The 21807-nt window shown below is 40.9% G+C and overlaps 1 long non-coding RNA gene across 1 annotated transcript; it reads left to right on the top strand.

The window, feature by feature from the left end:
- Nucleotides 1–5339: 5339 nt before the first annotated feature.
- LOC107987009 (uncharacterized) lies at nt 5340–8055 on the top strand. The gene is made up of 2 exons (XR_001746518.2): nt 5340–5448; nt 7392–8055. It is a non-coding gene; the product is annotated as an uncharacterized LOC107987009 (long non-coding RNA).
- The last annotated feature ends 13752 nt before the right edge of the window (nt 8056–21807 follow it).

Here is a 21807-nt window from a genome sequence, read left to right as displayed (position 1 = left end):
ATCTTCCATTTAGCGGATATGATGATAAACCCACATTTTTTGTTTTAATCTGAAAATGTATTTGTATGGCTCTTGGAAATATTTTTTTTGCATATAAAATTATAGTTTATCATCTTATTTCAAGTTTTATTTACCATTTGATAGTTACTCCTAAAATGTCATTGATTAAAGAATCATCTATTGCTCCAACTGCTCTTTACTAAAGGTAATTTGTCTTTTTAACCTCATCAGGCTCCTTTTAAGGTCTCAAACTGACCTTATATTTTTTTACAGATTGAATGCATTAAGTCCATTTATTATTTATGATGAATTTATTTATGTATTTATTTTCGCTATCACAAGTAGAAAAAGCCTATAAGTTGCTATGCCAAAAACCTGCCTCTAGATGGCAAACAAACCCCGCAATACACAAAAGAGAGCCAAATTCTTAGAAACCCTGGGAAAGGAAGAGGGCTACTGTCCCATTAACAACTTGGAGCCCTTAAGGCAAGAATGAGGTGGACCATCTGGAACATCTGGGAGGAGACACCAGGGTGCGGAGTAGTGGGGAACCTGCTCTGTGCTCTGAGACTGAAAGCCCAGCCTTGCCTCTCACCACTGCCTTGACTGTGTCCCCATCTGCTGTGAAGTGAATGGTGTCTTCTAAATTCATGCTGAGCCCTAATTGCTGAAAAGTGTAAGACATGCAATGGGGGGATTATGTGCATCTTCCTGACACCAACATGATGCTCAGGAAGGAGACTTCTTGTTTTCTCTTAGGATTCTTTTACTAACCAAGATTTTGCCTCTACTGCATATTTCCCTTTGCTGATTGTCCCTCCCTTTTGACAGAAGATGGCCCAGGGCATTCACTACTAAGTCTCAACCTCTTACCCAAAGCCCTCAGTCTAGTGTTGCTCTTTCCTTCATGCTATTTTTGTTTCTTTTCTTGTCATCATCTTGGCAATAAAATAGTCACTTTTTTCTTTCTACCTATTAAAGATGTTACCTTAGTTAATTACAGTGGTTTCCTTCAGAATGATAAATGGTCTTTCAAAATGATGTAAAGAGATCTAAATCCGTGTGCTCCAGAAGTTGAATGAAGCTCTGTCTAGCACGGGTGCCAGTGACTCTCCCAGAGTGCTCCATGCAGCTGGACCCACGGAGTCCCTCTGTGCTGTCATATCACCCACTGCCTTCTGTGAATGAGATATTCTGATTGGAATCCTGGTGGATGCTATTTGAGCCATGCCCCCACAACTCCTATGAAAGCCGAGGACCACAGGCCCCTGAAGACAATCACAGGTCTCTAGACTCACAGCTCATGACCGTCCTCTGCAGACACAGCTTCTCCCCGGATGGCTGAGTTTTGTCATTGGCTGTGTCCTTCCTTGTGCATGACAACAGGAGACATAGAAGGTCTGTAAGCAGCCCTGCAAGCCAGGTTCTGAGCAAGCCCTCCTGTGTGAGGCCCTCTTACCTGGACATAGGTGTGTAAACCAAAAATGAAACTCTAAGCTCCCTAACCAACTGAATGAACTCCTCCTCTCAGCCAAGGACACACCAAAATCAACCTGAAATACAATACAGTCCATGATCGGAACGGATGATTGGATATGCCTTAACTTACCCTCTTCCCTTTAAAATTCAGGCAGAACTGACCAGCTTTTAATATGAAGACAGAGACCTTGAGACTGACAAAGAAAACTCTTTATAGCAATAAGATACCAATGTGACAGATACCACGTCCTAAGAGAAATCAAAGTATTTTCCCCAAGATATTGTTATTTAATGTATTTAAAAATGCCTCTGCAAAGCTGGTTCTTGTGGGAAAAATCTAAATTCTGTAGAGATTCCTTTTTAAGTCTCTTTCCTGACCCAGAGAGATTTAACTAAGAGTTTGGCACCTTTTAAGTCTACTAAAAAACAATTACAATCTATTCTCTCTGAAGCCTGCTACCTGGAGGCTTCATCTGCATGATGCAACCTTGGCTCCAAAACCCTTTTTCTAAACCCAGAAACTCCCTTGTGTTGATTACAGGTCATTAGATAAACTCTTTCAACCACCTATGAAATCTTTGAATCCACCTATGACCTGGAAGTCCCCAATATCCCCCCTCCTTCGGGCTGTCCTGCCTTTCAATATCAAAGCAATGTACAGCTTACACGTATTGATTGATATCTTATGTCTCCTTAAAACGTGTAAAACCAACCTGTAGCCCGACGACCTTTGACACACGTTCTCAAGACCTCCTGAGGCTGTTTCACTGATATTTCTTTAACTTTGACCAAATAAATTTCTAAACTGATTGAGACTTTTCTCAGATGCTTATTTGTTTATAGGTATCACTGGATACACTTAAGGAATTGAAGAGATTTATGACATTGAGAAAAGGAGGAAGCCAGGGTGTGTGGAGAGAGAGAGAGAGAGAGAGAGAGAGAAAGAGATTGTGATGTATGTACAGGACTAACACTGAGACCTAGTTATGTAATGGTGTAGTAATGAGTATCATCCCCAAATAGTGAGGTTTCATTCCAAGAAGACTATGCATGTATCTCATTTGGGAAAACAGCTTTTGCAGGTGTAAATTAAGGAGCTTGAAACAGGGAGATGGTCTTAGATTAATCAACTGGGACTTAAATGCAAACTCAAGTGTCCTAATAAAAACAAGAGGTAGAGAGACATTTAGCATAGACTGAAGTGGAGAAGGCAGTGTGAACACAGAGACAGAGATTGCAGTGATGTGTCCACATCCCGGGAGAGAGAAGCCACCAGAAGCTGGAAGAGCTAAATCAGACTGCTCCCTAGAGCTTCAGAAGGAGCCAGTACTGATGACTCCAAGATCTTAGCCCAGTGAAACTGATCTGGACTTCTGAACTATGAGAGATTCCATTCCTGTTGTTTGAAGCTACCACATTTTTGAGAACTTGTTACAGTAGCCCGAGGACACTAACACAAATGGGGCTCTGGGAAAATCCAGACTAAAGGTGTTGTGTTGGTTTGCAATCTCCTTGCTTAACTTTCTGATACTAGACGTAAATAGATTGGTGAAAAATTTTGTGATTGAAGAAATGTACATGAAACCTACAGTGTACAGAGAAGCATCTGTTAGTTATAAGATAAATATTGATAATTTTAGTTGAAAATGACATATGACTGTTAATATCTCACATAACATTCTGAGTTACTCAAGAATGCATAAAAGGGACACTAGATACTCTTCTCATGTATGTGTGTGTGTCTGTCTATACATGTATGTACACTTCATGGTGTATCAGCTGGCGGAACCCTCAGGACACCCCTTCACATCCTCAGTGCCCCATTTCATACATGAGGAAACTGTTCATGACAGCACATGGCTGATTTGCATAAAAATCACTTGGTCAGCAGTTGTTGAAGCTGAACTTGGAATCTAGGTCTGTCTGACCTTAACTATGTTCCTTCCACAGAGCCACGTTCATTCCATAGAGGAACCCACCACCTATAAAACCAGAAAAGAGACAAAGCCAGAAGTGCAGGGTGGATTTCTTAACACAAGCTCACTGCGACCTCTACTCCTCATCACGCTGACACTAAGCTTAAACCCAGACCCTTCTACAGTTTTGTCTACAAAGCACAATTTGCCCAAAGCCTTTACAAACACCAACAGCCTTTCTTTCAGATATGGCAGAGGGTCACATCTTACACGGCCCTGACCACATTTTGTCTCCTCTGCCATCCCCATCTCTCTGACTCAGTCCTCGCTTGCAGCCATAAAAAAGGATGAGTTCATGTCCTTTGTAGGGACATGGATGAAGCTGGAAACCATCATTCTCAGCAAACTATCACAAGGACAAAGAAACCAATCACTGCATGTTCTCACTCACAGGTGGGAATTGAACAATGAGAACACATGGACACAGGAAGGGGAACATCACACACCAGGGCCTGTCGTGGGGTGGGGGGAGGGGTGAGGGGGGAGGGATAGCATTAGGAGGTACACCTAATGTAAATGATGAGTTAATGGGTGCAGCACACCAACATGGCTCATGTATACATATGTAACAAACCTGCACGTTGTGCACATGTACCCTAGAACTTAAAGAACAACAATAATAATAATAATAATAATAATAATAATAATAATGGGTCTTGTACATCTAATTTGCCCTACAAATGTTAAAACAGCAAACCCGCATCCCCTTCCTCTTCTCATGTGCTGTGAGGGATGACCTCCAGGCTCTCAGATACCAAGATTGTACAAGACCTAACCCAGAGAATTACTCAAGACACTTTCTACGTAAGAAGAATTGTGGTGCTAGCTCTCCTCATAGAAAAATGTTTTCTGTCTCTTGTTGAAATTGACAGCAAACACAAAAACACAGAACTATTTGGGAGAACAGAGGACAGTGATACACTAGGGAAGTAAAACACACCCCTTCCCCTTGCATTGGTTTCCTGTTGCTGCTGTAACAAATTACCACAACCTTACTGCTCCCCATAACACAAGTGTATTATCTTACATTTCTGGAGGTCAGAAGTCTCAATGAAGTAAAATCAAGGAGTAATAGGGCTCTATTCATTCTAGGCTTCAAGAGAGAGAATCCAATATCGAGCATTCCATCTTTCTGATGTTCCCACATTCCTAGCAGCATGGCCCCTTCCTCCATCACTCCAGTTTCCCTGTCCGTTGTCCCAGGTCCTCTCTGGCTGTTACCTTCCTCCTTCCCTATTATAAGGACCCTTGTGATTATGATGGTCTCACCCAGATCATTCAGGATACTCTCCTGACCCCCAAATTCTCAACCATGTCTGCCAAGTTATTTTTGACATATTCATAAGTAATGATCATAGATTCCAGATATTAGGACAATGATGTCTTTAGTGGGTGTATTATTCATTCCACAAACAACCCTCATCATCCACACAATGGTCTTCCCCTAAGGTAGAATAAAAATATCACAAGGCAGATTTACGAGGCGATCGACCTAGAAAAAACCTGAGAATCTAGGACTGTCTGATGTGTGGATGTCAAATCCTGGGAGATTCTGAGTCTCTGCTCTATGTGGACTCTATGTTGTGTAGCCATTTGTGGAAGGCTTCTGTGATTTTGTGACCTAGAGAAAATGAATCTCTGCTAAAATCAAATCTAAGAAAGATTGGCAAAGGGAATTTAAAGATTTCCTAAATTTTTGGAATTTCCCTATGCATTAAAGCATGAGAAGTGGCAATAATTCAAACCAATGATGCCCTCCAAGAATGAGGATTTTTCCAATGCATTAGGTTGGGTCCCCTCAGTGAGAAGGATGCCAAAGATTCGCATGCAGGCAGTATATTTACAAAGTGCAGGAAACAAGCAAATGAGCAAGGGAGGGGAGGAGGGAAAGGGAAAGTGAAAGGTGCCTCAGAAGGAGCCACCTCTGAGGATGACGAGAGCTCAAGCCCACATAGAAACACAGGAAAAATGCCTCTGTTATTCCACCTGAGAGGTGAGGGAGCTGCGGGATGTGTACACCTCCCTTGTCATCACTGATTGACAGCCGTCCTAGGGGATGCTAATTCCAGGCCATGAGGTCTGCCTCATTTGCAGCCTGAGCTGCTTCCCCAGGTTCAGACAGAGCAGTGAAGGGGAGAAAGGGCCATAGAGAGTCAGCTGAAGTATAATGACTAGAATCCCCAAGGCGTAGTAACAATGACTGCTAAAATTATGCACAAAGAAAAAGCGCATTTGAATCCAGAGATGTATCTCTCTGAATCTGGATATATGGATCCTGGCAGCCTGTTCAGTAGCCATTTCCCAGAAATCCAGTTCTCTGGAAAAGCAGCAGGAGGTTTGTGCACAGGCTGCACTACCTTGGTCTGGCCACTGGTAGTCGTGCATGAGAACTACTTCCTGGAGTATTTCTCAGTCCACTGACACTGATGTAATTGGCTCCACTTCCCCTGCTGTTGAGCCAGGCCGACACGCCCTGGGCAAAGGCATCTGTGTGAAGTATTGAGGTTCAAATCAGTGCTTAAGATATGTTTGGAGGCAAAATACTTTTTCATCTACATGGGCAGTGTCTTGGCAGAAGATGGAGATTCTCTCTAAATGGATGTGAGACAGGGTGGCTGGCATCTGGGTCAGGATGATGCCCTGGTGCATGGCAAGAACATGCATTGGGCAGCAGCTGCCCTCGCTAAGCAGAGAGGTTCACTGACCTGGCTTTTCCCCCCTCACCTGCTCTCCAGAAAGCCAGACTCTAGGGCAGATGCTCCTGAGACCCCAGGAACAGGCTGGTGGGGAGCGCAGCTCAGAGCATTACTCAAGGGATGTGGCCTTTGTCATCCTACTTTGAAACAATTGATTATTTGAGCCTACATTGATAGAGGGCTTCAAGTTGATTTTAATCCTGGCTCCTATAGTCCGCGAGTGAAACAGAGATTTTGAAATAATGAGACCTGGTATTACTAGTCAGCTCTCCATGCTGGAGAACCATAAGAAATTATACCAAAGGCAGGAAAGGGGATAGAATATGGGGATCATCACGCCAAGAATAAGGTGCAGCCCATTTAGCCCCTGGGTCTTAAAGAGACCCATAGCTCTGGATAATGGCAGATCTATGCGTGACACATTATCATCTTTGTGCATCTTCAGAGAATTGTTTTTCCTTTTACTCCTAGGAACAATGTCTTAAGTTTGTTAGTAAATTCTATTGAATTTATTAAAGATGCTTCTGATAAATTCTTTTTATATTCATTTCAAAAAAGAAGCAATTTCACACTGACAGAGACATTGTTATTATAGCACTAAATACTTTTACACTCATCAAATTCCTTTGAGACTAACTGAAATTTCTGACAGCCCCACACTCTATAACTTTATTGTAAATTTTCTGCCAAAAATGATGCTTTCCTATACACTCTTAATACAAGTATAAATATATTATTTAATCTAGTCTTAGGTTGATTTAAAATTTTGAAAATTCACTCCAAAAATATGTTCTGTAACCATATGGCCACCAATGAGAAGTGTACTCTTTCAAGGTAAATCTGTGCTGCCCTGGTCTGACCTGGGACTCTGGGGATACTGCGCCCGTGTGCTGAGTTACTGAGATGAGCCAGCCCTGCAGCTGTGCTCAGCCTGCCCCATCCCCTGCTGATTTGCCTGTTCCTAGAGCACAGCCCCCTGCCCTGAAGACTTCTTATAGGCTGGCCACACCTGGTGCAGGAGTCAGCCCCAGTCAGGACACAGCACGGACGTGAGGGCCCCCACTCAGCTCCTGGGGCTCCTGGGGCTCCTGGGGCTCCTGGGGCTCTGGCTGCCAGGTAAGGAAGGAGAACACTAGGATTATACTCGGTCAGTGTGCTCAGTACTGTCTGGAACTTCAGGGAAGTCCTCTGATAACATGATTAATTGCAAGAATATTTGTTTTTATGTTTCTAACTTCAGGTGCCAGATGTGACATCCAGATGACCCAGTCTCCATCCTCCCTGTCTGCATCTGTAGGAGGCAGAGTCACCATCACTTGCCGGGCGAGTCAGGGCATTAGCAATAATTTAAATTGGTATCAGCAGAAACCAAGGAAAACTCCTAAGCTCCTGATCTATGCTGCATCCAGTCTGCAAAGTGGGATTCCCTCTCGGTTCAGTGACAGTGGATCTGGGACAGATTACACTCTCACCATCAGCAGCCTGCAGCCTGAAGATTTTGCAACTTATTACTGTCAACAGAGTGACAGTAACCCTCCCACAGTGTTACAAGTCATAACATAAACCCCAAGGAAGCAGATGTGTGAGGCTGGGCTGCCCCAATGCTCCTTCTGGTGCCTCTATCTGCTGAGGGAAGTTCTCAAACTCAGTCAGGTTTGGAAAGTCATCGGGAGATTTTCCTAGAGGAGGCCAGGGAGGTTCCTCTGAACGCTAAGCCTCTTTCGCCCTCATCCCCAACAGAAAAGACGTGACAATGCCTGTCCTGACTGAATAAAGAAGAGAGATAAGTCCAGCTGAGGAGTCTGTGTTATGGGATAATCGGAATTTGTACAGCAAAAGAGAAGCTATTCTCAGTATTTCAAGGAGAAATTATTCAAGTTGAATAAATTAGAGTCTAAACCACAGTCTTTCCGAAGCCTATGGAGTGTTATTCATGAAGCAGGTACTAGACACAGGGGATTCTCAGGTGCTACTTCAGAAGCCAGGATGCACCTGCCCCTGGTGGTATGTGCTGAACACCGTGTGATGATCCTCAGTCCTGTCTGGGAAGCCCAGGGCTGGGGGTGCTGATGCTCTCAGCTGCCTGCAGCACATCTCCAGGTGATTCTCCAGTCCACACCTAACTGCATGTGTTTTACTTCAGGTGTCAGTGTACATGAATCCACCACTCTGACTTCCCAATCTCATGACAGTAATTAGTTGTAACTTATCGTAACCTCATGGAGCAACTCTAAAGAAACCATAGAGAGAAAAGGAGTTTTGGAAAATGTGCTCCCGGAAGTGATAGTAATGATGGGGAATTGACAGCTGACGGGGAAGTAAGGTGACTCTTTCCACAAGGCTCAACATTTTGCCAGTTATGAATTGTTGTAAAATACATTTGAATGTGCTTTCAAGTACTACCAGTTTGGGGTCATAGCTGAAAAACTTTATTAAGTCACAGATAAAATGGGAAAATCAGGAATATTTTATATTGTATGAAATATACAATAACACTGTGTGTGATGGCTCAGGTCTGTAATCCTGTGATAGTTAATACTGATTGTCAACTTGATTACATTGAAGGATGTAAGCATTGCTCCTGGGTGTGTCTGTGAGGGTGTTGCCAAAGGAGATTAATATTTGAGTCAGTAGTCTGGGGAAGGCAGACCCCTACTTAATCTATGGGCACCATTTAATCAGCTGCCAGTGAATATAAAGCAGGCAGAAAAAAGTGAAAAATTGAGTCTGGCCCAGCCTCCCAGCCTACATCTCTCTCCCGTGCTGGATGCTTCCTACCCTTGAACATCGGACTCCAAGTTCTTTAGTTTTGAGGCTCGAGCTAGCTCTCCTTACTCCTCACTCCTCATGCCTGCAGACAGCCTACTGTGGGACCTTGTGATCCTGTAAGTTAATATGTAATAAACCCATATATATATATATAGAACTTATTAGTTCTGTCCCTCTAGAGAACCCTCATTAATACAGATTTTGGTACCAGGAATGGTTCTGCAGGATCAGAATATTAAGGTTGGAGTTCTTTTGTTGGTTTTGGGGTTTCTGGATTTGGCTGCTAAATATGATTAGATCCCAAAATGCTAAGGACTCTACTTTTAATAGTGTAGAGAATATTGACAGTTCTTGGCATGAAAGGTTTAAAGAGCTACGCAAAACAAATTCATTTGACACTAATGAATCATCGCTCATGAGAGGCAAGGAGTTTAGTGACTCTGTACCTAATACCCTTGACAAACACCTTGCAAAACAGATTTGTGAGGACAGCACCTGCATCTTTGAAGAGCCCTGTAAAGGCTCTTCTCTGTATGTCAGATCTAATGGTGAGAACTGCAGTCACTCAGTTACAAAAGTTAAATACAATTTGGAATAATTGGATCCTGAAGTGGCAGGGGCCAAGTGGTAGCACTCAACCCTCAAAGGCACGGTGGGCATAGCTACCGTAATGGGCAGAAAAGACAAAGCAGCAATCTGAACAGTCTGACTCATGTAGAGCTCTGGCATTGGCTAACTAATCACAGTGTTCCTGGAAGTGAAACTGACAGGAAGACTAATGCATTCCTACTTAATTTATGTAAGGAGGAAACTTAAGGTCAAACAGATAAAAGACTAACTGGAATCATAAAAACAGAGATTCATGGCCCCTCAATCAATTTCCAGCCTTGAGCCAGTTTACAGACCCAGAACCCCTTGAATGAAGGGGAGGCTGGGTCCCCCTGAGGTGTCCATGGCAGATAGGAATGCTGCTTTGAGGCTTTGGCAGGCCTCCATAGGTGAATCATGGTGGAGGCCTCTAGTATTTTGCAGCAAGGCCCGGTCATCTTCTCCAGTTAACTACTCTCCTTTTGAGAGACAGCTCTTGTCCTATACTGGGCTTTTGTGGAAACTGAACATTTGACTATGAGTCAACAAGTCACTATGCGACCTGAACTGCCTATCGTGAACTGGGTGCTTTCTGACTCATGTAGCCATAAAGTGGGTCATGCACAGCAGCATTCCATCATCAAATGGAAATGGTGTATAAGTGATTGGGCTCAAGCAGGTCCTGGGGGGCACAAGTAAGTTACATGAGGAAGTGGCTCAAATGCCCATGGTCTCTACTCCTGCCACCCTGCCTTCTCTCCCATGGCCTGCACTGATGACCTCATGGGGACTTGCCTTTGAGCAGTTGACACAGGAAGGGAGGACTAGGGCCTGGTTCACAGATGGTTCTCCACAATAGGCAGGTACTGCCCAAAAGTGGACAGCTGAAGCACTACAGCCCCTTTCTAGGACATCCCTGAAGGACAGTGGTGAAGGACAATCTTCCCAGTGGGCAGAACATTGAGCAGTGCACCTGATTGTGCACTTTGCATGGAAGGAGAAATTTCAGATGTGCGGTTATATACTGATTCATGGGCTGTAGCCAATGGTTTGGCTGGATGGTCAGGGACTTGGAAGAAGCATGATTGGAAAATTGGTGACAAAGAAACTTGGAGAAAGAGTATGTAGATGGACCTCTCTGAGTGGTCAAAAACTGAAGATATTTGTACCCTGTGTGAGTGTTGACCAACAAGTGACTTCAGCAGAGGAGGATTTTGATAATCAAGTGGATAAGATGACCCGTTCTGTGGATACCACTCAGCCTCTTTCCTCAGACACCCCTGTCATTGTCCAATAAGCCCATGATCATAGTGGCCATGGTGGCAGGGATGGAGGTTATGCATGGATTCAGCAATGTGGACTTCCACTCACCAAGGCTGAACTGTCTGTGGCCACTGCTGAGTGCCCAATTTGCCAGCAGCAGCAGAGACTAACAGTGAACCCTTTGTATGGCATCATTTCCTGGGGTGATCGACCAGCTACCCGGTAGCAGGTTGATCATATTGGAACTCTTCCACCATGGAAAGGAGAGAGGTTTGTCCTCATTGGAACAGGCACTTACTCAGGATATGGGTTTGCCTACCTGCATGCAATGCTTCTGCCAAGACTACCATTTATGGACTCAAGGAATGCCTTATCCACTATCACGGTATTCCACACAGCATTACCTTTGACCAAGCACTCACTTTACAGGTAAAGAAGTGAGGCAGTGGGCTCATGCTCACGGAATTCACTGGTCTTACCATATTCCCCATCTTCCTGAAGCAGCTGGATTGATAGAATGGTGGGACGGCCTTTTGAGGTCGCGATTACAACATCAACTAGGTTGCAATACTTTGCCGGGCCGGGGCACCATACTCCAGAAGACCATGTGTGCTCTGAATCAGCGCCCAATGTATGGTATTGTTTCTCCCATAGCCAGGATTCACAGATCCAGGATTCAAGGGGTGGATGTGAAAGTGGAACCACTCACTATGATGCACTAGCAAAATGTTTGCTTTCTGTTCCCACGACATTAGGTTCTGCTTTACTAGTCATCTTAACTCCAGAGGGAAGAACGCTGCTACCAGGAGACACAATAACGATTCCATTAAACTGGAAGTTAAGATGGCCACTTGGATGCTTTGGGGTCCTCCTACCTTTAAGTCAACAAGCTAAGAATGGAGTTACAGTGTTGGCGGCAGTGATTGACCCAGACTATCAAGATGAAGTCAGTCCGCTACTCCACAATGGAAGTGAGGAAGAGTATGCATGGAATATAGGAGATCCATTAGGGCGTCTCTTGGTATTATCATGCACTCTGATTAAGGTAAATGGGAAACTATACCCAATCCAGGTAGGACTACAAACGGTCCAGATCCTCTCCGGGTCACAACCTGCTGAGGTGCTTGCTGAAGGCAAAGGGAATACAGAATGAATAGTGGAATAAAGTAGTTATCAATACCAGCTACAACCACCTGACCAGCTGCAGAAATGAGGACTGGAACTATCATGAGTATTTCCTTCTTTTGTTAAAAACATGTTTGTGCATGTATGCACTTGTACTAAGAAAATATCTTCATTTCATTTCCCTTTTCTTTATCAGGTGACATAGATTTGCTGACCTCATATCAGCATTTAAGTATTGTTTACTTTATGTAAGAGTATTTGGGTTGGGGATGGGTGCATTTCCAGTTGTAGGAAGGATAGTTTATTATGTTAGGGGTAATTATGACCTTACTATTGTCTGTATTTTAAGATTATGTATGATCTCAGGAGATGTGTGTGGGTTCAAGTTCACAAGGGGTGGGCTTGTGATGGTTAATAATGAGTGTCAACTTGATTGGATTGAAGGATGTAAAGTATTCATCCTGGGTGTGTCTGTGAGGGTGTTGCCAAAAAAAATTAACATGTGAGTCAGTGGGCTGGGAAAGGCAGACCCACCCTTAATCTTTGTGGGCACAATCCAATCAGCTGCCAACCCAGCCATACTATAAGCAGGCAGAAAAATGTGAAAAGAGACGGGCCTCACCTCCCAGCCTACATCTTTCTCCCATGCTGGATGCTTCTTGCCCTCGAACATGGACTCCAAGTTCTTCAGTTTTGGAACTCTGGCTGGCTCTTTTTGCTCCTCATCCAGCAGATGGCCTATTGTGAGACTTGGTGATTGTGTGAGTTAATACTTAATAAACTTCCTGTATTAGCCAGTGACATCTAGAGGGACAGAACTAACAGGATATATACATATATATATACATACGCACACACATACATATATATGCACACACACACACACACACATATATATTTATTTATAAAGGGGAGTTTATTAACTTACAGGATCATAAGTTACACAGTGGGCTGTCTGCAAACTGATGAGAAAGGAGAGCCATGGAGTCCAATGTTTGAGGGCAGGAAGAAACCAGCATGGGAGAAAGATGTAGGCTGGGAAGCTAGGCCAGTCTCTCCTTTTCAAATTTTTCTGCCTGCTTTATATTTGCTGGCAGCAGATTAGATTGTGCCCACCAGATTAAGGGTGGGTCTGCCTTCCCCAGCCCACTGACTCAAATGTTAATCTCTTTTGGCAACACTCTCACAGACACACCCTGGATCAATACTTCATATCCCTCAATCCTATCAAGTTGACACTCATTATTAACCATCTCACTCCCCTTCATATATATATGTATATAGTCCTTTAATTCTGTCAGTCTAGAGAACCCTGACTAATACATCTACACTTCTGATGATCTATTTCTTTTATTTTAGGTCATTTATTTCCCCTGGGTTGCCTACACTCGCTTCTTCCCACTCCCCTATGAAGGATAATATAAGCCTCTGGACCTCACTAGGTCAGGGCATGTCCCTGCTTGCACTATCCATGACACTTTCCTCTTTTACTCTTTAGCAATGAGGGAATGTCATCCTTACCCAGATGCCAGCCACCTGTCTCACATCCAGGACAGAGAGTCTCCATCTCCCCTCCAGCAAATACCCATGTATGTGGGCATGGTGGCATGCCCCTGTGATCCCAGCTACTCCATAGGCTTAGGGGGGAGAATCACTTGTGCTTGAGAATTCAAGGTTGCAAGGAGCCATGATCACACCACTGCACTTCATGCTGGGTAACTGAGTGAGACCCTGTGATTTTTCCCCTACATTTTACAGAATTTTTTTTTGCCTCTTTCTTCTATTAATTTATGTTTTGTCCATTCATTTTCTGCAAACCTTCAGAGGGCAAATAGGAAGTTTCCCTTTTTAACGTGGTGGCTCACGCCTGTAATCCCAGCACTTTGGGAGGCCGAGGTGAGCAGATCACCTGAGGTTGGGAGTTCGAGACTAGCCTGACCAACATAGAGAAACCCCGCCTCCACTAAAAAAAATACAAAATTAGCAGGGTGTGGTGGTGTGCACCTGTGATCCCAGCTACTCAGGAGGCTGAGGCAAGAGAATTGTTTGGACCTGGGAGGCGGAGGTTGCAGTGAGCCCAGATTGTGCCACTACACTCCAGCCTGGGTGACAAGAGCGAAACTCCGTCTCAAAAAAAAAAAAAGAAACAAAAACAAACAAAGAAAAAAACACCTACTGCCTCACTGAATTAAAGGTGTGTTCAGCAGTTTCTTTGTTATTTCGAAGAGTGTCATCTGCTTCAGCAGGGTCAGTTTTTAATGTATTTGTTTTGTTTCTTTTTTCTCTGTCTGGTGTTGTTTTCTATTTTATTATAATTTTTTAAATTTGAGGGATGAGGTTTTCATAGCACTGAATATCAAACAATGAATCCGCATGAATGATTCACCTAATTTCCTTGGTTTTAGTCCTCTATACAGGTTTTATATAGCAAAAGAACCATTTAAAGACTTGGGTTACAAATGTATTTTATTTTACCTCTGGCATGCCTTGGGCTGAGAAAGCATTATATGGTGGCGCAGTATTTGTAACATTCTCATAGCCATCTGGCGGTGGTTCAAGGTATGACACTTTGAAAATCTAGCAAGAATTAAAATATGTCAAGTTAGAGATAAAAATTCCAGATTATTATTAAGATATAATTCATTTTGCCCCAAGTATATACTTCAGATTAAGCATCCTGGAACTAGGTTCTATAATTAAATAGATAAATTACACTGACAACAATGAGAAAGAGCCTTATCATTATTATTGTCTTCCTAATAGAAACTTTTATAAATGCATGCAATCCCAGGTAACCAAAAGTTTCCTTATAAAGTGTAACAGCAGAGCTTCAAAGGTGGCATTTGGCAAGCCCCTTTTTTTGACTATGCCTTTTCAGCTTCCTTTGTGGGTTCCTTTTCTTTCATCTTTATTTAAATAATATTTCCCTATGTTTTATCCCCAGCCCATTGCTTGCCTCTGTACTGCCTCCCTGCGAGACTTCATTAAGTATCAGAATTTTACCAATAGCTCATATGCTTATGATGCTTACCTTTTCAGATTCGTATATTTAAATGTTTTGTGATTATTTCATCCTGGATGTCCAAACTCAACATGTTAAAATTCAAATTTATCATCTCTCACCCCGGGCCTGCTTTTGGTCTGCATTTCCTACCTCTATTAATAGCTTCAGTTATTAGCCACCGACACCAGACAGTCTCGGAGTCATCCTGAACTCTATCTTCCCCTCCTTCCCCAAGTCAATCACTAATCAAGTCCTGCTAATACATTTCCTTACTATTTCTGAAATCCATCCCTCTTCCTCATTCCTACTAACATCCTAATTTAAAACTTTATTATCTTTTACCTGGACTATTGTCTTAAGACAACAACTTTAACCCGTTGCTTAGCCTAGGTGTAATCCACAGAGGATCTTGTCTGTCTAAGATGCCCCTCTAGCCACATCCTTCCCCTGCTCAGATCTTGTCATTGGCTCCCATGAACTGAAGTTGAAGTTTAAGCTCCTTAGGACAGCATACACGCCCTTCTATGATCTGTTCCCAGAACATATTTACTGGTTTATCTCATATCATGGCCCACTTTGTATTTTACACTTTTGAAATACAGAAAATCATTACATTCTCCCAATAATACTAAGCTAGTATATGCCTAAAAGCCTTTGCCAATATTTTGTCTTTTGTTGAGAATTCTCTTAGCTTATTTTGTCACGTGGTTAACTCCTTATGTCCTTTCACGACTCACATGTCAAGACTTCAGGAAACCTTCTCTAACTCCCAGGCTGGGCTGAGTGACCCTTTTCTGGGTAAATAATGAACTCTAATCATACTCTTCATAGCACTTACCATACTAATTTGAAGTCTGAAGTATTCCATTTTCTGCCTCAGTTTACTTAGGCAAAGGAACCATGTCCTAGTCTCATTCTGGCCTCAGGACTTCAGCCTGGGCGACAGTGGGAGACTGTGTGTCAAAAAAAAAAATTGCCAATGATTGAAGCCTAATACTGAAGATTCTGGTTTATTAATAATTAGTCTGTTGCTGGGTGTTAATTGAGCTCTCCAAGTGATTACTCATGTAGGACTTCAAAACGATAATTTAGAACCTTGTGACTAAAAATCTGGGCAAAAATAAGCAGCATCAGTATCACCTGGGAGCAGCTTCAGGTCTCACTTTAGATTTACTCTGAATCTAAATATTATATTTTTATTAAAAAAATTAAGAACAGATGACAATCTTCAACTACATCTAAATTCTTTAGATTTACTTTAAAAGAATCAACATTTTGACACAATACCAAAGTGAACTAAATTCGCTTTTTTTTTTTTTTTTTTTTTGAGACAGAGTCTTGCTCTGTTGCCCAGGCTGGAGCGCAGTGGTGCAATCTCGGCTCACTGCAACTTCCACCTCTCCAGTTCAAGCGATTATCTTGCCTCGGCCTCCAAAGTAGCTGGGATTACAGGCACATGCCATCATGCCCGGCTAATTTTTGTATTTTTAGTAGAGACAGGGTTTCACAATGTTGGGTCAGCTGGTCTCGAACTCCTGACCTCAAGTGATCTGCCTGCCTCGGCCTTCCAAAGTGCTGAGATTATAGACATGGGCCACCATGCCCAGCCTAAATTTGCTTTAATTTGGAGAAGTACTGGTCTAGAAAACACAAATTCCAAGGAGACTCAGGTTCTTAAGTTGATTTCTTGAGTACAAGTTCTTCAAATGCATTCTCCAAGATTAATTTTTTTTTTTACTTTTTAAATTGACAAAGATTATACATATTCATGGCTATACGGGGATGTTTCAGTACATGTAGATGGTGATCAGATCAGGGTAATTAGCATATCTATCATCTCAAACATTTATTATTTCTTTGTGTTGGGAACATTCAAACTACTCCTAGGTATTTTAAACTACATAATATAGTATTGTTAACTATAGTCATCTACAGTACTATAGAACACTAGAACTTATTACTCCTACCTAGCTGTAATGTTGTATCCATTAACAAATCTCTTACCATTCCTCCTTTCTCCCTACCCTTTTCAGCCTGCAGTATCCTCTGTTCTACTTTTTACTTCTATGAGATCAACTTTTCTTTAGCTTCTGCGTGAGTGAGAACATGTGGTGTTGAAATTTCTATTCCTGGCTTATTTTGCTTAACATAATATCCTCCAGTTCCATCCATGTTGCTGAGAATGACAGGGTTTTATTTATTCTTTTTTATGGCTAAATAGCATTCCTTGGTGTATATATACCGTATTTTAAAAATCCATTCATCTGTTGTTGGAAACCTAGGTTGATTCCATATCTTGGCTATTGTGAACACTGTTGCAATAAACATGGGGATGCAGATGTCTCTGCAATATAATGCTTTTCTTTCCTTTGGATAAATTCCCAGTAGTGGGATTGCTTGAGGTGTTTCAATACTGTTCTCCATACTGGCTGCTCTAATTTACATTCCTACCAACAGTGCATAAGAGTTCCTTTTTCTCCAGCTACTCAGGAGGCTGAGGGAGGAGAACTATTTGAACCCTAGAAGCAGAGGGAGCCAGATTACACCACCACTGCACTCCAGCCTGGACGGAGAGTGAGATTCTGTCAAAAAAAAAAGTCCCTTTTCTTCACGTCTTTGTCAGCATTTGTTATTTTTGTCTCTTCTATAATAGCCATCCTAACTGGAGTAAGATGATGCCTCACTGTGGCTTTGATTAGCATTTCCTTGCTGATTAGTGGTGTTGAACATTTTTTCATATATTTGTTGGTCATTTGTATGTCTTCTTTTGAGAAATGTCTGTTCAGAGCATTTGTTTATATTTAATTAGATTGTTGTGCTTCTTTGCTGTTGATATGTTTGAATTCCTTGTATATTCTTGATATTAATTTCCTGCCAGATGAGTTTATACTTTCTCCCATTCTGTAGGTTGTCTTTTCACTCACTTTCTTATTTCCTTTGCTGTGCAGAAGATTTTTAGCTTGATGTGATCCTATTTGTTTATTTTTTCTTTTGTTGCCTGTGCTTTTGATGCCTTATTCATAAAATATTTTCCCAGAGCAATGTCCTGAAGGATCTCCCCTATGTTTTCTTCTAGTAGCTTTACCATTTTGGGTCTTATATTTGGGTATTTGAGATACTTTGAGTTGATCTTTGTATAGGGTGAGAGGCAGAGGTCTAGTTTCATTCTTCTGCATATGGATATCCAGTTTTTCCAGCACCATTTATTGAAGAGACTATCCTTTCCCCAATGAGTGTTCTTGGCATCTTTGTAAAAAATCCGTTGGCTGAGATATGTGGATTTTCTGGGTTCTTTATTCTATTCCATAGGTCTATGTGTCTGTTTTTATGCCAATACCATGATGTTTTGGTTACTACAGTTTTGTAGTGTATTCTGAAGTCTGGTAGCATGATACATCCAGCTTTGTTCTTTTTGCTTAGGATGGCTTTGGCTATTCAGGATACTTTTTGATTCCATAAAATCTCTTTGGATTTTTTTTTAATTTTGTGAAGAATGTTCATAGGTATTTTGATAGAGATTGCATTGAATCTGTAGGTTGCTTTTGAGTAGTACTGTCACTTTAACAACATTCATATTTCTGATCCATGAGTATGAATGTCTTTTCATTTGTTTGTATCCTCTTCAATTTCTTTCATTAGTGTTTTGTAGTTTTCATTTTACCTCCTTGGTTACATTTATGTCTGGGTTTTTTTTTTTTTTGGTAACTATTGTAAATGGGTTTGCCTTCTTAATTTCTTTTTCAGCAAGTTTGTTGTTCATATATATAAATGCAACCAATCTTCGTGTATTAGTTTTGTGTCTTGCAACTTCACTGAATTTGTTTGTTCTAAAAGTTTTCTGGTAGTCTTCAGGTTTTCCTATATATAACATCATGTCATCTGCAAATAGGAACAATTTGATGTCCTCCTTTCCGATTTGAATGCCCTTTATTTCTTTCTCTTGTCTAATTACTCTTGATAGGACTTCACATTTATATACTTTGAATATTTAAAATGTTTACATAAATGTCAGAATCAACTTTCATTTTTCATAGAAAAAGAAGATCCTACTTGTTTTGTAGTTTTAATATTAATCAATTATTATTATCTGAGACAAATTATTAACAAACCATCTATTAAAATATTTCACCACAAATAAATTCCATAAGGAAAATATCTACAACTGTTTTTATGAAAGAAAAAAAGGCTTCTCTACAGTTGCTTAGGCCTGGTGCCATGGCACACACCTATAAATCCCAGCGCTGTGGGAGGCCATGGCAAGAGGATCCTTTGAGCCCAGGAGTTTGAGACCAGCATGGACAACAAAGTGAGACCTCATCTCTACAAAAAATAAAAAAGAAATTAGCTGGCCATGGTGGTGCGTGCCTGTGGTCCTAGCTACTCGAGAGGCTGAGGAAGGAGGATCACTTGAGCCAGGGAGGTGGAGGTTTCACTGAACCATATTCACGCCACTCCACTCCAGCCTGGGCAACAGAGCTAGACCTTGTCTCAAAAAATTAAGTTAGTTAAATTAAACATAAAGTTGCATTGTACTTAAGAAATTGGGAAAGCAGAAAATGCTTCTGTTTTTCTTTTGAGTTGAACAATGAGAACACATGGACACAGGGAGGGGAACATCACATACCGGGGCTTGTCAGGGGGGTGGGAGGCTAGGGGAGTGATAGCATTAGGAGAAATACCTAATGTAGATGATGGGTTGACGGGTGCAGTAAACCACCATGGCATGTGTATACCTATGTAACAAACCTCCACGTTCTGTACATGTATCTCAGAACTTAAAATGTAATAATAACAATAATAAAAACCTCAAAAAAAGGAAATGCTTCTTCTTAGAACAGATTACATACCCTCATTGCTTTTTATAATAGCCTGTAATAACAGAATATCCACAAGGTGGCAGTAATATATCAGTTTCATCCTCTGAAATTAAAACTTTTGCCTATTCAGTAATACAATGGATCTTTTGAACTCACTCTAACACGTAGAATACAGCAATTTGACTTAATAATTAGCCTTTAAATTTATAGTCTTGTATTATCACTTTAGTAGATTATTTTGTATTTTAATATATTTAAATGAATTAGTCCTATAGAAATTGACTAATTTGACATGTGAAGGTGTTTTTATTCTATTTTCAGAAGTTTAGCTTTAAAAAAATTTCTAAACTTCGATATCTGGTGAGTGTCAATGTTTTTATCTTATTAAAAGCTGACAGACCACACTATATTCAACTGATTTTTTTTTTAACAAGGATGCAAAATCAGTTTAAAGGAAGGATATCTTTTTCAACAAATGGTGCTACAGCAATTGGACATTCACAGGTACAAAAACTAAGACTGACCTAAATTTATACTTTATATAAAATTTAGCTCACATAAATCACAGGCTTAAATGTAAAATGTAATATTATAAAACTTAAAGTTGTGTATGGTAGCTCGTGCCTGTAATCCCAGCTACTACTCAAGTGGCTGAGGTGGAAGCATCACTTCAATCCAGCAGTTAGTGGCTGCAGTGAGCAATGATGGCACCACTGCACTACAGTTTGGGCGAAACCTCGTCTCAAAAATAATTAATAAATAAATAAATTCACTAAACTTTTTAAAATAGAAGAAAACTCTTGAGACCTTGGGCTAGGCAAAGAATTTTTAGGCTTGATATTAAAAACAAAATCTACAAAAGGAAAAAGTGATAAAACTGGACTTCATTAGAATAAATAAACACTTTTTTTTTTTTTTTTTTTTACTTAGAAAGACCCTGTAAAGAGGTTGAAAAAATGAATTACAGACTGGGAGAAATAATTTCATACCATATATCTGACAAAGAACTTACATCTAGCATATGTAAAAAATTCTCAAAACTCAATAGTAATAAGATACCAATTAGAAAATAGGCATATGTGACCTCTCTGTATTATAACTTAAACCTCATGTGACTACAATTATTTCAAATGAAATAAACAAAACAGTAATGCCTGTTTCTGGCATATAAAATAATCAGAGAACATAGAATTGTACGAAGTTAAATTATTGGGCCATTTACTTAATTTAAATATTTTTAAATGCGTGTACCCATTTTGCTTGAAGGTGTGTGCAAGTATGCTTGTATTTTTTTAACGATAATATGGTCACATGAGCATTAAATTTATTTTTTAAAAGTTTATAGTTACCCCACACAAGTTCTTATTGATTCCCTCATTCTTAACACCTGCATAGTATTTCATTTTATAATTAATGGATTGTAGGTTTATTCTTTTAAAATCACTTGTGTTGTTCTCATTTTTTTTTTCACTAAAAAGTGTTGCAATGCACAAAACTAAAAATATAAGGAGGGTCTTTTCTGGATCTCTGTTGAAAAACTTTGAATAAAAATTACAAGTTCAAATCACATGCAAAATAAACATTTTAATTAATCGGGCTTTTATGCAAGATGTTAGTAGCAGTAGCAGCACAGTTTTATTAAGATCCCTGAATCTCTCACAAAAACTGACTGAGCAACTGGGATAACAAGGTATTAACTACGACAAAACAATGTAACAGGGTGTCATCATGGACGTTTTGTGAGGTTAAACCACAGGGACCCAGGGGAATCACCAATTTTTTTGGAAGAAGGAAAGGAAAGGAAAAAAATGTTTAATGGCCCTGGGAACTGGAAAACCTAGAAATACAAGCGCTAACATCTATGTTCCTAAATTCAGAGATTCTTACTAGGCAAAAAGAACTCAGCAGATTAATCTGAGAACAGCAGCTGAGGCTGGCAGAAGGCTTCCTGGGCCTCAACTCATAGCTGAGAGTGAGGGTGGCAAAAAGCAGTGCTGTGAGTGGTCTGTTTCCTATGAACCCTACAAATTAACCACCCCCAAAACAAAGCCCTGTCCTAAGGAGAAACTGCAGGAAGTCAATTATAAATT

Source organism: Homo sapiens, chromosome 9 (genome assembly GCF_000001405.40).
Source record: "Homo sapiens chromosome 9, GRCh38.p14 Primary Assembly".
Lineage (NCBI taxonomy): Eukaryota > Metazoa > Chordata > Mammalia > Primates > Hominidae > Homo > Homo sapiens.
Note: the sequence above shows the minus strand (reverse complement) of the source record. Positions and strands in the feature narration are given on the sequence as shown.